Below are 16626 nucleotides of genomic sequence, written 5' to 3' on the forward strand. Positions count from 1 at the left end.
TAGCATTAATTATATTCACAGTGTTGTGCAACCATCAACACTTTTTATTTCAGTGCAAAAATTTTCATCACCCCAAACAAAAACTCCCCATTCCTCCTCCCCCCACCTCCTGACAACCTCTAACCTACTTTCTATGAATTTGCCTGTTCTATATATTTCATATAAATGGAATCATATAATATTTGTCCTTTGCATCTGGCTTATTTCACTCAGCATGTTTTCAAGGTGTATCCATATTGTAGCACGTGTCAGTACTTCATTTTTATGACTAATATTCCATTGTATGTATACATCACATTTTATTTATCCATAATCTGCTGATGAACACTTGGGTTGTTTCCACCTTTTGGTTATTGTGAATAAATATAAGCATTAGTGTACAAGTATTTGTTTGAGCCCCTGTTTTCATTTGAGCATATACATGGGAGTGGAATAGCTGGAAACCTGTTCGTTTAAACCTTTATAGCTATTTGTCCATTTTTATGTTACTTTCCTAGCCATGAAAATGACAGATGAAAATAGAAAAGTGTGGCTGGTCTGAAGGTAAGTGAGTTACCTCAATTGATTGTCCAGTCAGTTACAGATCGAACTTGTTCTACTCTTTCCCTCCTTCTCACTACTGCACTTGACTAGTCTTAAAAAAAAAAAGAAATAAAACAAAAGAGTGTCTGTTTTTCATAAGAAGATACGCTTTTTTTGCAACTTACTTTTGTCTTTTCTTAACTACTTAATACATGGAACTGCTGTTTATTTCTTTTGGCCTATGAGCCCTGCAAAAAATTACCAAGGCATTAAGAGCATTGTAAACCCAGAAAGTTTGGGAACCTTAGGTTTATACATAATGTTCAACAACTAGTTTTTTAAATTCAATACTATTTTGGACAACTTACATTAAATAATGCATATCCCATTGTATAAATGTACCACTTATAACAGTTGCCTTATTGATGAACTTCCAGCTTATTGTAGTTTTCTAATGTTACAAAGAATGCTACCCACAAACATAATTGCATATATATACATCTGTATTAACTCATACTAAGGTTTCTGTAGGATAGATTCCTAAAACTAAAATTGTGAGGTAAAAAGGATATACATACTTAAAATGTTATTACAGCTAAATTTCCCTTCAAAAGTTTGTGACATTATACACTACCAGCAATGTATGAAAGTACCCATTTCCTCTTTCCCTCACCAATATTTGATATTATAAATTCTTTTAATTTTTACAAACCTGACAAAATAACAAAATTTTGTTTATATCTTGTATTTCCTTAATTAGTAGTGAGATCGGGCACCTTTTCACACTTTATTGGCTATTTATATTTCTCCTGTCAATCCACGTTCATATATTTTGACCATTTTTCTATGGGGATTTTTTTCTTTTTCCTAGTTATTTGTATGAACTCTATTTTATTAACACTAATCTTTTGTTTTTTTTCTATGTTACAAGAATTTTCTTCCTACCTGTTACTTGTATTCAAAATGTTCATTGTTCTTTTTCCATATATAACTTTAGCATTTTTATGAGATCAAACCTTTATGATTTCTGGTTTTTGTCATGTTTAGAATGGCCTTCCTATCCTAAGACTTAAATTATCTACTCATGTTTTCTATGAGTACTTTTAAGATATTAGATTTTAGGGCCAGGCACTGTGGCTCACGCCTGTAATTCCAGCACTTTGGGAGGCCCAGGTGGGCGGATCACAAGGTCAGGAGATCAAGACCATCCTGGCTAACACGATGAAACCCCGTCTCTACTAAAAGTACATAAAATTAGCCGGGTGTGGTGGCGGGCGCCTGTAGTCCCAGCTACTCGGGAGGCTGATGCAGGAGAATGGCGTGAACCCGGGAGGCACAGCTTGCAGTGAGCTGAGATTGCACCATTGCGCTCCAGCCTGAGCGACAGAGCGAGACTCCATCTCAAAAAAAAAAAAATTAGATTTTAGGTTTATATTTGGAATTTAAGCATAAGGAGTGGGGTAACAGCCTGCTTAGTTTAGTGTTTTCCCGTACTTAGTTGGCCTATTTATTAAATATAATGTCATTTTCTTATTAATTTGCAATGTCACTGTTAGCAGATACTAAATTCTCATATAAAGTATATTGTAAGTCTCTTTTCTGGACTTAGACTTTTAAACCTTTTCTTATGCCAGCTCTACACTACTTAAATCAATTTTACTATATTTAATACTTTAAACAAAATTTGAAGCATACCTGTATAATTTACCTTTTTTACTTTTTTTTTTTTTTCTTTTGAGACAAAGTCTCACTCTGTCACTTAGGCTGGTGGAGTGCAGTGGTGCCATCACAGCCTTACTGCAGCCTCCACCTCGTGGGCTCAAACGATCATCCTGCCTCAGCTTCCCTAGTAGCTGGGACTACAGGCAGGTGCCATCATATCTGGCTAATTTTTTAAGAAACTTTTAGTAGAGATGGAGTCTCACTGTGTTGCCCAGGCTGTCTCCAACTCCTGGACTCAGGTGATCCTCCCACCTCAGCCTCCCAAAGTATTGTGATTACAGGCGTGAGCCACTGCACCTGGCCTTATTTACCTTTCTTATAGTGGTCATTTTGTTGTGAAATATGAACATTATTAATTTTTTTGTTATTTTAAAAATCTTTTGGATATTCTTTTTTAAAAAATGATTTTAGACCTGTAGAAAAGTTGCAAAAGTAAAAGTTTCCTTTATGCTTACCAACTTCACATAGTATGAACATCTTACATAGTGCAATTACTGAAATCAGGAAATTAATATTGATATAATACTATTAACTAATCCACAGCCTTTAATCTTTCTTGACATTGACACTTTTAAAAAGGGTACTAGTTACTTTGTAGATTTTTTGTCTGAGGTTTTCTTCTAATTAGATTCAGGACATGAATTTTTTTTGCAAGAATACTAAGGAAGTGATATTGTGCACTCTTCTCAGGGCCTCATATCAGGAGGCATATGTTATCAACATGTCTTATTACTAGTGAAGTTATCTTTGAATAACTGGTTAAAGTAGTATCTTTCAGGTTTCTCCCTTTGTAATTAGTATCTCATGGAAAGATATTACCTCATTTCTCATCACACTTTCACTCACTAGATCTATATCCATCAATGGTTTTTATCTGCAACAATTATTACTGGAGTGTTTGCTTAATGGTTTTCTGTTCCCATCATTCCTTCTATATTTATTAGTTGGAAGTTCCCATATAAGGAAGATAATCCCTTCTCCCCATTTATTTATTCAATTATATCCTTTTACCAGTATGGACCCATGGATTTATTTTATTTTATGGGTTCCAATACCATATTATGTTACAATATTATATTACGATACCATATTATGTAACAAAATGTTGGCACTCTGTATCTGCAGGTTCGACACCAGAGGATTCAAGTCAACTAGAGAGAAAATATTCAGGAAAAAACCAAAATAACAATACAACAACAACAAAAACCCAAAAATACAGTATAACAATTACTTACATAGCATTTACATTGTACTAAGGATTATATGTAAATGAGATGATTTAAAGTACACGGGAGATGTGCCTAAGTTATATGCAAATGCTATGCCATTATATATAAGGGACTTGAGCATCCACAGACTTTGGTATCCAAGGGAGTACTGGAACCAATCCCCTTCAGATACCAAAAGGCGACTGTATTTAAGAGATAGAAACGGTGTCAGGCCGGGCGCAGTGGCTCACGCCTGTAATCCCAGCACTTTGGGAGGCTAAGGCAGGCGGATCACGAGGTCAAGAGATCGAGACCATCCTGACCAACATGGTGAAACCCCGTCTCTACTAAAAATACAAAAATTAGCTGGGCATGGTGGCATGCACCTCTAGTCCCAGCTACTCAGGAGGCTGAGGCAGGAGAATTGCTTGAACCCAAGAGGCGGAGGTTGCAGTGAGCCAAGATTGCGCCATTGCATTCCAGCCTGGCGACAGAGCCAGACTCCATCTCAAAAAAAACAAAAAAACAAAAAACAGTGCCATTAAGTACTTACAAGTGTAGTATAAAATGTAAGGTCCCCACATCTAATCTATGGCTTAATATCTTTGCTTGCAAGGGGAAATGAAATTAAAATTTTCTTAATATTGTAACTTGGATTAAGATTTACAGATTATTTCCATAATTCACTTACCAGATGCTGAATATGTATTTACAAGCTCCCACCAATTAAGGGGCTTGGAAAGAGTAAAATATGGAACTGACACAAGGCCCATATCAAACATTCAGGGCAGCACAGGCTGCATCCTGATGCTCAGTGTCAGGATACATGCATACATGGAAAAACTCCTTTCTCTTCTTTTGAGATGGAGTTTTGCTCTGTTGCCAGGCTGGAGTGCAATGGCACGATCTCAGCTCACTGCAACCTCTGCCCCCTAGGTTCAAGCAATTCTCCTGCCTCAGCCTCCCGAGTAGCTGGGATTACAGGCACCTGCCACCACACCTAATTTTTGTATTTTTAGTGGAGATGGGGTTTCACCACGTTGGTCAGGCTGGTCTTGAACTCCTGACCTCAGGCGATCCACCCGCCTCGGCCTCCCAAAATGCTGGGATTACAGGCGTGAGCCACCACACCTGGCCTTTTTTTTTTTTTTTTTTTTTTTTTGAGACAGGTTCTCACTGTATCCTCCAGGCTGGAGTGCAGTGATGTGATCTTGGTTCACTGCAACCCCACCTCCCGGGCTGAAGAGATCCTCCTACCTCAGCCTCCCAAAGTGCTGGGATTACAGGCATAAGCCACCATGCCTGGCTGAAAAATTCTTTTCTGTACTCTCACAACACTTTTGACATCAGATGTATGGGTTTTCCACAACCAAGTAATTCTCCAGTTCTCTGTGGACACTAACTGGATGTTCTAAAATTTTATTTTGAACTAACTACCCAGAGTTAGCACAGACCCCAGAGCCTAAGGGTTCAGTCCCACAGGACTGCCCCTACCTCAGATGCCAGTCACAAGTCCAGGCCTCCCACTCTTCTGACCAACTAGCTGTAAATCGGGGGTTCTCTTAACCCCTTCCTTGGGTTTGATACTTTGCTAGAACTGCTCAAAGAAGTCAGAGAAACAAATTTATTGATTTATTTGAAAGAATATAATAAAAAATACAGATAAACAGCCAGAAGAAGACGTACCTAGTGGGAAGTCTAGAAGGGTCCCATGCACAGTAGCTTCTGTCCCTATGGGGTTGGGGTGTGTTATCCTCCCAGCACTTGAATGTGTTCACCAACCAGAAGCTCTCTGAACCCCATCAGAGATATTTATGGAAACTTCATCATGTAGTCATCAGTTATTAACTGAGTCTCCAGCTGCTCTTACCTCCTGGAGGATGAGAATGGGGCTGAGTTCCAAGCTTCTAATCATAGTTGGGTCTTTCTGGTGACCAGCCCCCATCCTGAAGCTATCCATGAACCCACCAAGAGTCACTTCATTAGAACAAAAGAATCTATCACCCAGGAAATTCCAAGGGATTTGGGAGCTCTGTGTCAGGAAGTGGAGTAAAAAATGAAATTCATTAAAACAAAAGATGCTCCTAGCACCCCCCCCACCCCCATCACTCAGGAAATTATAAGGGTTTTAGGAGCTTTTGTATCAGGAACCAGGAGCAGAGACCAAATGTGTATTTATTATGTCACTGTGCAAAATACATACCTAGAATACATAGTTTATTAAAGCAAAAAAATTAACTATAGTTAACTGACTGGAACCAGGGGGAAATTCTTTTAACCTATTCTTTCCAGCTGTTAATAGTGATATCACTTTGAAGTTGCCTAAATTGTTTATTTTTTCCAGGTTTGACGTCAATAAAGGGAAACTGCCACAATTTTTATACTGCTATTTCTAAAGATGTCACTTATAAGGAACTTAAAAACCTGTTGAATTCTAAAAATATTATGTTAATTGATGTTAGAGAGATATGGGAAATTCTGGAGTATCAAAAAATCCCTGAGTCTATCAATGTACCATGTAAGTGACATGTGTCTTAAATTAATTTATTAAAAAACATATAAATAATTTACTATATCTAAAATCTAACTGAAATTCTTAACATTTTCTTTCAGTGGATGAAGTAGGTGAAGCTCTACAGATGAATCCAAGAGACTTCAAAGAGAAGTACAATGAAGTAAAACCATCCAAATCTGACAGCTAGTGTTTTCTTATTTAGCCGGAGTGAGAAGCAAGAAGGCCCTGGACACAGCAATATCTCTGGGCTTTCACAGGTGTGTAGATGAATGAAAAAATGGATTGATAAATGTATAATCCAATGTTTCATATATATTACATTTTTATATGTCTATTTAAGAATTTCTTGTAATTACTGTCAGTAAAGGCAGGATAGCAAAACTAAGAGCCTCTTTTCATCTTACTCAATTTAGAGATAATAGCGGCCAGGCGTGGTGGCTCACGCCTGTAATCCCAGCACTTTGGGAGGCCGAGGCAGGTGGATCACGAGGTCAGGAGATCAAGACCACCCTGGCCAACATGGTGAAACCCTGTCACTACTAAAAATACAAAAATTAGCTGGGCATGGTGGCACACTCCTGTAGTCCCAGCTACTTGGAAGGCTAAGGCAGGAGAATCGCTTGAACCTGGGAAGCGGAGGTTGCAGTGAGCCGAGATCGCACCACTGCACTCCGATCTGGCAACAGAGTGAGACTCCATCTCAAAAAAAAAATGTTTATAGCACTATTTGATGTATGTTTTCAGTGCTTAACACTATGCCAGAGGATGGAAAGAATGGGTAACCTGTGAATTTTCAGAGAAGAAACAAGGAAATTGAATTTTTGGAATACAAGTTGGCTCTTTCCTTGTGTACATGCAGCCTAGGATAGTGGAATGAGCAAAATATTAAAAATCTAGTCCTGGCACCACTGGTTATGGTAAGGGGATTTTTGTATAAGTCAATTAGTTGTTGAATCATTTTCTCATCTGTAAATTGAAAATGGCACTCTCCCCTGAGATAATGCATGTTACTTGCCATGGAAATATAAGGGTCAGGATTCTATGAATTAATTTTTAAGTAGCTTAGTATCATTCAATAGTATTCTAAAATACCAGGTTACTTATACTACCTACTCATGTATGACATTTGTGTTAGTATACCTTCTATTCATCAAAGGGGCTATGAGCTAGACCTGCAGATTAACACGCAGATGTGGCCTTAAAAAAAAATCAGTTAATCTGGGATCCAGAGAAGTAGGTGAAATTTGAACAATGAAAATACATTAACAGCTTCTAAAGATTTATAGCAGTATTATGACCAGCATGGTAGTGATGAAATTTGCAATTTAAAAAATTAAAATTGGGCCAGTTGTGGTGGCTCATGCCTATAATCCCAGCACTTTGGGAGGCCGAGGAGGGTGGATCATGAGGTCAGGAGATCAAGACCATCCTGGCCAACATGGTGAAACCACCCCCCGTCTCTACTAAAATACAAAAAATCAGCCAGGCATGGTGGCGGGTGCCTGTAGTCCCAGCTACTCGGGAGGCTGAAGCAGGAGAATCATTTGAATCCGGGAGGCGGAGGTTGCAGTGAGCCAAGATTGCATTACTGCACTCCAGCCTGGTGACAGTGTGAGACTCCGTCTCACACACACACACACACACACACAAAATAAATAAATAAAATAAAAATTATTAGTATGGGGATAATCAGAACAGTGGTTGCTGTTCTAGAGGGAAGAAGATTAACTGGAAAAGGCAAGGAGGGTGGCTCAGGCCTATAATCCCAGAACTTTGGGATGCCTAGGCAGGCAGATCGCTTGAGCTCAGGAGTTCAAGACCAACCCGGGCAACATGGTGAAACCCAGTCTCTACAAAAAAAATACAAAAAATTAGCCAGGCATGGTGGCACGTGCCTGTGGTCCCAGCCACTTGGGGGGCTAAAGCAGGAGGATCCCTTAAACACTGGAAGATCACACCACTGCACTCCAGCCTGGGTGACAGAGTGAGACCCTGTCTCAGAACAACAACAACAACAAAATTGAAAAACAAAAAAACAAACAAAAAAGGCAAGGAGAGAACTTTCTAGGGTGATGGAAATGTTCTGTATCTTGACTGAGGTATTGGTACATAGGTATATACATTTGTCAAAACACATTAAACACTTAAATGTACATTTTTGGTAAGTGATTATACCTCAGTTTAAAAATAATGAAAACAGAAATGCCTAAATGTAAATGACTCCCACTAGCATGGGTATATTCCTTTGGAATGTTAAGTCCTACACTTAATTAGTGTGCTAATGCACTGGTGGCAAAATAAACCTGTTTTCTCTTGTCTGTGCCTCTTTAGACCCATGTAGTGTATTTTTAGACTCACTCATGCAGTCATTCTTGTAGTACCTATAAGGACAATGTCAGAAATATATATATTTCTGTCAGTGTGTGTGTGTGTATATATACACATATATGTGTGTGTATATATACACATATATACATATGTATACATATACATATACATATATACACACACACATATATGAAGGCAAGGAGAGAACTTTCTAGGGTGATGGAAATGTTCTGTATCTTGACTGAGGTCAAGATATATATATATACACACACACACACATACACATATATAAGAGCCATAATCTCAGGGAGAAGGAAAGTTGTAGACAATGAACCAACATTGAAGTACTGGGCCCATCAAGGAACAGGATTGTGGGTAAATACATCAGGCTTTTAGTCGGAATCCTGAAAAGGCTATGCCCTAGAAGTAGAGTTGAACCAGAAATTCACAACCCCCACAAGAACTCAAAACAAGCTTTGAATCAATTAAATCCCTGAATGAATTAAGGTGATCTTCCTAATATCTTAAGGGCCTACCAGAAGTAAATCCTCTCTAGAGAAAGATACCATTATCTAGCTAGAACAGAGGTTGGCAATAATCAATCTTTTAGTCTTGTGGCCAATTAGGTTTCTGTTGCAACTGCTCAACTCTGCTGTTGCAGCACAAAAGCAGCCACAGACAATATATAATGTGACTATTCCAGTAACTCTACTTATGGCCACTTAGGTTTGAATTTTATGTTTCATGTGTTGCCAAATATTATTCTTCATTTGATTATTTTTCAATCATTTAAACATACAGCAAACATTCTTAAAGCCAGACAAAAACAGGTAGCAGGTCAGATTTGGTCCATGGGGCATAATTTGTAGATCCCTGAGCTACAGCCACAAATTTTCCTTACAATTTTTCACATACAATTTCACCTTACAATTTTCACATACAATTTCAGGTATTCTATCAAAAATTAATAGGCACGGCAGTCAATAGGACCTTATGATTGAGAAATAATGGAAAAACAAGACAAGAGAAACAAATCCACAGAAGATCTACAGATTGGAGTTTTCAGACACAGACTTTAAAATAACTGTGATTAATATATTCAGTAACTTAGATAACAAAATTACAGTAACTGAAATTAAACACCCAATAGAAGGTAGATAGGTTTAATGGCCAATTAGACACACCTGATGACAGGATTAGTGAAAATGGAAAAATCAGAGGTACATGTATTAACATGGATGACTCTTACAATGTTGAGGGAAAAAAGCAAATTACAGAAACATATACTGTATAGTTTTTGTTTGTTTGTTTGTTTTTTAAGACAAGCTTTTTCACTGTTACCCAGGCTGAAATGCAGTGGCAAGATCACAGCTCATTGCAACCTATACCTCCTGGGCTGAAGCAATCCTCCCACCTCAGCCTCCAGAATAGCTGGGACTACAGGCACGCACCACCACACCTGGATAGTTTTTTCACTTTCTGTAGAGACAGGGTCTCGCTATGTTGCCCAGGTTAGTCTCGAACTCCTAGCCTCAACTGATCCTACTGCTTCTGCCTCCCAAAGCACTGGAATTACAGGCATGAGACACCATGCCTGGCCAGTATAGTTTTTAAACATACAAAATATATTATTATTTAGGCATATGGACATATATAGTGTAAGTATAAATAAATTATAAAAATATCTACTTCTGAATGGTTTCTAATGGGGGAAGGGAGACGAACACAATAGGCTTTAACAGTATTGTTGACAATTTTATTTAATATGTTTGGTAGGTAAGCACTTATTTTTACCTTTTGTATGCATGGGACAGGGACTGTTGTCCCCACTTGGCTACACTTGAACAAGACTATATACCTTTGGATTCCTGGTACCCTTTTTTTTTTTTTTTTAAGAAAAAAACTTGATAATGTATTCTATTTACCCAAATAAACAAAGGGTTAATAAATTAGAATAATGTATCTTCTATATTAGATCGAACTTAGAAAGACAATTTTAGTTGTCATTCTGATACAAAGATTTAACAAATTTTATGTGTGTATATACATATATATATATATATATATATATATATATATATATATATATATATATATATGGTTTTTTTTTTTTTTTTTTTTTTTGAGACGGAGTCTCACTCTGCTGCCCAGGCTGAAGTGCAGTGGCATGATCTTGGCTCACTGCAAGCTCCACCTCCTGGGTTGACACCAGTCTCCTGCCTCAGCCTCCCGAGTAGCTGGGATTACAGGCACCCGCCACCATGCCTAGATAATTTTTTTTGTATTTTTAGTAGAGACAGGGTTTCACCGTGTTAGCCAGGATAGTCACGATCTCCTGACCTTGTGATCTACCCACCTCAGCCTCCCAAAGTGCTGGGATTACAGGCGTGAGCCACCACACCCAGCCTTTTTTTTTTTTTTTTTTTTTTTTGAGATAGGGTCTCGCTCTTTCTCCCAGGGTGGAGTGCAGTGGTGCTATCTCCGCTCACTGCAACCTCTGCTTCTGGACAAATTATACTTTTTAAACTGCACTGACTTATACAACAGTCTTTTTTTTTTTTTTTTTAAGACAGGGTCTCACTCTGTCTCCTGGCTGGAGTGCAGTGGCATGATCACAGCTCACTGCAGCTTGACTTCCTGGGAAGCTCACCTGAGTAGCTAGGACAACAGGCACATACCACCACAGCCAGCTAATTTTTCTATTTTTTGTAGAAGTGGGGTTTCACCATGTTTCCCAGGCTGGTCTCAAACTCCTGGGTTCAAGTAATCACCCTGCCTTGGCCTCCCAAAGTGTTGGGACTACAGGCGTGAGCCACAGCACCTGGCCTTATGCCAACAAAACTCTTATGAGTAAAACCATTATTAAGGTCTGTAGTATCAGAGACCTCAAAATGTGAATATACAGCATATGATTTACTACATCATTTAATAAATGTCTGTTTATTTCAGTAATGGGAGAATATCACTTTTACTTTGATAATATAAGGGTAGATCAAAAGTTTCAGATATGTATGAGAAAAGCCAGATTATATTTTTAAATGCTATATGTACTCTACATCTCTTTCATAATGGAATAGGAGAAAGATGTCCTGAAAAAACTGGCAACAGTGGATAGCCTCAGAGTTCTAAATTAATCAAAATATCTCAGGTTTCTTTCATTCACATAATCTTTCTTCTGTGCTTATGATCTCAGTGGGGTTTCTTGGATTCTGAGATAATGTGCCCCTTTGCTATCTAGAATGTGTATGCCATAGAAATACTGGATAGAGGTAGGATCAGCAGCTAATCTATGAGAAATTTTGTATGATTAGACACAAAAAATTGAATGCTTATCCTACCGTCCAGTAAAAAATATTTTTCGGTGTCCCCAAAAATAGCAATTTATTAATGGAAAAATATAATTTTATCACTACCACTTTTTAATGCTACAAGTTTCTCCAGGAGCAAAGGATAAGAAGAAAAAGAGAAATTTTAATAAGTTATTATTATTATTATTTTTGAGACAGTCTCGCTCTCTTGCCCAGGCTGGAGTGCAGTGGCTCCATCTCAGCTCACTGCAACCTCCGCCTCCCGGGTTCAAACAGTTCTCCTGCCTCAGCCTCCCAAGTAGCTGGGAATACAGGTGCACACTGCCACAACTGGTTAATTTTTTTTTTTTTTTTGAGGTGAAGTTTCATTCTTGTTGCCCAGGCTGGAGTGCAATGGCGCGATCTCAGCTCACCACAACCTCCGCCTCCCGGGTTCAAGCAGTTCTCCTGACTCAGCCTCCTGAGTAGCTGGGATTACAGGCACCTGCCACCACGCCTGGCTAATTTTGTATTTTTAGTAGAGATGGGGTTTCTCCATGTTGGCCAGGCTGGTCTCAAACTCCTGACCTCAGGTGATCTGCCCACCTCGGCCTCCCAAAGTGCTGGGATTACAGGTGTGAGCCACCGCGCCTGGCCACACCTGGCTAATTTTTTGTATTTTAGTAGAGATAGGGTTTCACTGTGTTGCCCAGGCTGTTCTCGAACTCCTGAGCTCAGGCAGTCCGCCCGCCTCGGCCTCCCAAAGTGCTGGGATTATAGGCGTGAGCCACCACACCCGGCCAATAAGGTATTATAATGGCAGAATGTGGTTGAAGTGAATCCAAATAAGGATAATAATAGTTCCTACTTCACAGTAAAGTTTTGAAGATTAAATCAGATAACATGTCAAATATTTAATACTTTGCTGCTATTCTTACTGTGTGAATATGTACAATATGATACCTGTTTGTAGGCAGCTGATATTTTGTGTTACTGTTTGCATTAATTTAACATTAATGGGTAAAGATGGCAGGTGAAAACTCCTAAACATCTGGGGGCCGAAATGGCAGTGGACTCCTTACTGAAAACAAGGAGATAAAGTGAAACTCTGCATACTGAACAATGAGCTAGCTTCTTGCCTTATTTCGTCTCTGAGAACTGACAGCTCAGCTCCTACTACCTGAGATAGATTTCTCTCCAGAAAAACTGACCCATCCTGAAGAAAAACCTTTAAAAAACAATGCTGGGGGTGTGAGGCTGAGGAAAATGTTTTGCTGTTCCCTTACCTATAATGAAGCTCACCACTGAAAAGTCCTACCCATGTACACAGAGATGTTCCAGATAGCTTTCTCTGTGTCTCTCAAATATGAAGGATCCTGAGATAATTACGGCCAAGCTTCTAACTTGAAAGACTATGACCAAACCAAACAGCAAAAAGGAACTTAAAGGAAATACAGGTTTAATAGCCCTTATCTGAAACAGCTGGGACCAGAAGTGTCTCAAATTTTGAAATATCTGCCTATATATAATGAGATAGCTTGGGGATGGGACCCAAGTCTAAACAAAATTCATTTATATTTCATGTACACTTAATACAAATAGCCTGGAGTTAATTTTATACAGTATTTTGAAATAATTGTGTGCATGAAACAAAGTTTTGACCCATCTCATAAAATCAGATAGGGAATTTTCTACTTGTGGCATCATGTTGGCACTCAAGTTTCGGATTTTGGAGCATTTTGGATTTTAGATTTTCAGATTATGGATGCTCAACCTGTAGTGTTAATGCAGGGAACAAAGAAAATTTTAAAACAACCAAAAAACCTAAGTTAATATCCTTAGAATTTTGAGAAGCCATTGCACTCTCCAGAACAAGGTACTACTTAAAAGACTTGGATTACCAGCTAAGTACAGTGGCTTATGCCTGTAATCCCAGGGCTTTGGGAGGTCGAGGTAGGAGGATCACTTGAGGCCAGGAGTTTGAGACCAGCCTGGAAAACACAGTGAGACCTCTATTTCCACAAAAAATTTAAAAATTAGCTGTGCACCCATAGTCCTAGCTATTCAGGACACTGAAGTGGAGGATTGCTTGAACTCAGGAGTTCAAGGTTACAGTGTGCTGTGATCGTGCCACTGCACTACAACCTGGGTGAGAGAGGGAGACCTTATCTATCGTGAAAGAAAAAGACTTGGATTCCCCATATCTCTTAAATGCAAGAGAAAACAAAGGGAAGTCCCAATATGATCAATTCTGTTATGACAACTGTGTTATTTGGACAGTAGTCAGTCCTGACTGAGGGCCGTAGAACTCGAAGAAGTCTCCCTGTGATTTGGAGAATAAAAAATGACAAACGATTCTGATGATCAATTAATAGAAGATACAAATGAAGTTGAACAAATTACAACCAAGGCAATTACTACTTCCAGAGATACAAAAATATTATAAAAGAAAGAAAATGTAATCATGGTATGCTATAGAAGACAATATTATCTATGTACATTTATATATTCGATATGAATTTAAAAAAATTATACAATTAAGTGATGATAGGAGTAGAAGTCCCAGTGTAAGATCAGGTTGGGGAAGGAGAATAGGGGGAGAAGTATGAAAAGCAAAATCCTCATCTTCCATAGCAGAGAGTTAGATAATATTTATAATTAAAAAGAAAAAATGAGGGGATTGTAAGCAGAGGAGGCAATATGCTAATATATTTGGAGATTAGATGCCCAGGTTTTAAAAAATGCTTTATTTATTTTTTAATAAACAGATACAGAGTCTCGCTTTGTTGCCCAGGCTGGTCTCGAATGCCTGGCCTCAATCCTCTTGCCTCAGCCTCCCAAAGTGCTGGGATTATAGGCGTGAGCCACCACGTCTGATCAAATGCCCAGATACTAAGAATTAGAATCTAATCCAAGCTCTGTCACTTAGTTAATCTGTGACTGGGTAAATTACTTAATATTTCTGCTCCAGAGTTTCATCATTTTTAAAATGATCATTCTAAGAATTTACTTCATAAATGCAGAGAGCTTAGAACATAATTGGCACATTTTTAATAAGTGTTCAAATAAATGTTATAATTAAAACCTTGTCACTTGGAAATGAAGTAAACAGCAGAGAAGTGACTAAAAGTTGAAAGTGGCTGCCTCTGGAGAATGGGAATGAGAGGTAGGGAGAACAGGACAGGGGTCTAACATTTTCTCTATAATGTCTTACAGCAACACTGTCCAATAGAATTTTTTTTTTTTTTTTTTGAGACAGAGTCTCATTCCATTATCCAGGCTGCCCAGGCTAGAGTGCAGTGGCATGATCTCAGCTCACCACAGCCTCTGCCTCCCAGGTTCAAGCAATTCTCCTGCCTCAGCCTCCTGAGTAGCTGGGATTACAGGCACCTGCCACCAAGCCTGGCTAATTTTTTTTATTTTTTAGTAGAGATGGGGGTTCACCATGTTGGCCAGGCTGATCTTGAACTCCTGACCTGAGGTGATCCACCTGCCTCGGCCTCCCAAAGTGCTGGGATTGCAGGCGTGAGCCACTGCACCTGGCCCAATATAATTTTAATGCAAACCATTACATGATTTTAAATCTTACACTTAAAAAATTTAAAAAGAAAGTGAAATTAATTTTAATGTTTTATTTAATCCTATGTATCCAAAATATTTAAAATATGTAATCATTATAAACAAATTAGAGATTTTATATTATTTTGTTTTGTACTATTTGAAACCCAACATATATTTTTACATTTACAGCACATCTCAATTCACACTAGCCACGTTTTAAGTGTTCAATAACCACATGTGGCTAGTAGCTATCATACTGGACAACTATGGTAATATTGGATTTTTAAAAACAATACATATCATCAATGGCTGCTATTAAATCATAGAGAAACCCAGCCACTTTATGTCTCCTGATTAAAGACCACTACTTAATTTGTACAGTGGTCTACTAAAAAAAAAAAAAAGACAGAAAAAAAGGAAGCAAGCAAACAAGCAAGCCTGAATCTGATCAAGCCTGTAGATTCAATTACCAATTTACAGAAAATATAGAGGAGAAAATAACACATTAAATGGCATGTCAAGGATGCAATCAGCAAAATCCAGATGGTGAGAGACTCTTAGTAGACAAGCAAACCAAAAACAGGAATTTTAAAAATGTGACTGGGAAGGAATTCATGAATTTAAAAAGACATGGCTGGGTGCAGTGGCGCACGCCCGTAATCTCAGCACTTTGGGAGCCTGAAGTGGACAGATCACTTAGGTCAGGAGTTCCTGACCAGCCTGGCTAACATGGCGAAGCCCTGTCTCTAATAAAAATACAAAAAATTAGCCAGGCGTGGTGGCATGCACCTGTAGACACAGCTACTCTGGAGGCTGAGGCTGGAGAATCACTCGAACCCAGGAGGCAGAGGTTGCAGTGAACAAGATTGCGCCACTGCACTCCTGCCTGGGCGACAGAGTGAGACTCCATCTAAAAAAAAAAAAAGAAAATAAAATAATAACAAGACAAAAGACTTGTCAATAAATTGTAATATGTGATCCTTATTTAGATCCTGACTAGAACTCTAACAATTTTTATACTTGTGAAATAACTGAAAATCTGATATTATTTTTACTAATTCTTTTTGAGGCACAATAATACTTTTAGTTTTTTTAAAGAGCTATTATTTCTTAGGAATATATGCTGAAATATTTATGGATAAAATTATATGATATCTAGGATTTGCTTCAAAATAAGATGGGGGATGGCAACTTACGGAAAGTGGGTGGGAGTTTAGATGAAATGAAATTGGCCATAAATTGATAACTACTGAAGCTAGATGATAGGTACATGGAGGTTCCTTACTTTACTCCTGTATATGTTGTTTTAAATCTTCCACAATAAGAGACTGAAAACAAAACTATGAGGCATGGTATTAATTTTAAAAATAAACACTTAAAGACTATAGGTCTTACCTAAGCCCAACATTAATTCCTTCAGACCTGAGGAGAGCTTTTTTTCTTATTAAGCCCAGGAAACCTATATATGTCATCAGTCTGACTT

At 38.3% G+C, this 16626-nt stretch overlaps 1 pseudogene across 21 annotated transcripts in view; it reads left to right on the plus strand.

Annotated features, from left to right (window-relative positions):
• TSTD3 (thiosulfate sulfurtransferase like domain containing 3) overlaps positions 1-16626 on the plus strand; it is a 66727-nt pseudogene that overhangs the window by 4518 nt on the left and 45583 nt on the right. For 7 of the 21 annotated variants that reach the window (NR_197380.1, NR_197375.1, NR_197371.1 and 4 more), the window contains 2 exons: positions 498-543; positions 6066-6224. The product of NR_197380.1 is annotated as a thiosulfate sulfurtransferase like domain containing 3, transcript variant 14 (transcript). Of the gene's footprint in view, positions 1-497; positions 544-5796; positions 5971-6065; positions 9984-16626 lie in introns of those variants that run through there. The other 14 variants (NR_197373.1, NR_197383.1, NR_197367.1 and 11 more) reach the window with 6 other exon arrangements.

This window comes from Homo sapiens, chromosome 6, assembly GCF_000001405.40.
Source record: "Homo sapiens chromosome 6, GRCh38.p14 Primary Assembly".
Classification (NCBI taxonomy): domain Eukaryota; kingdom Metazoa; phylum Chordata; class Mammalia; order Primates; family Hominidae; genus Homo; species Homo sapiens.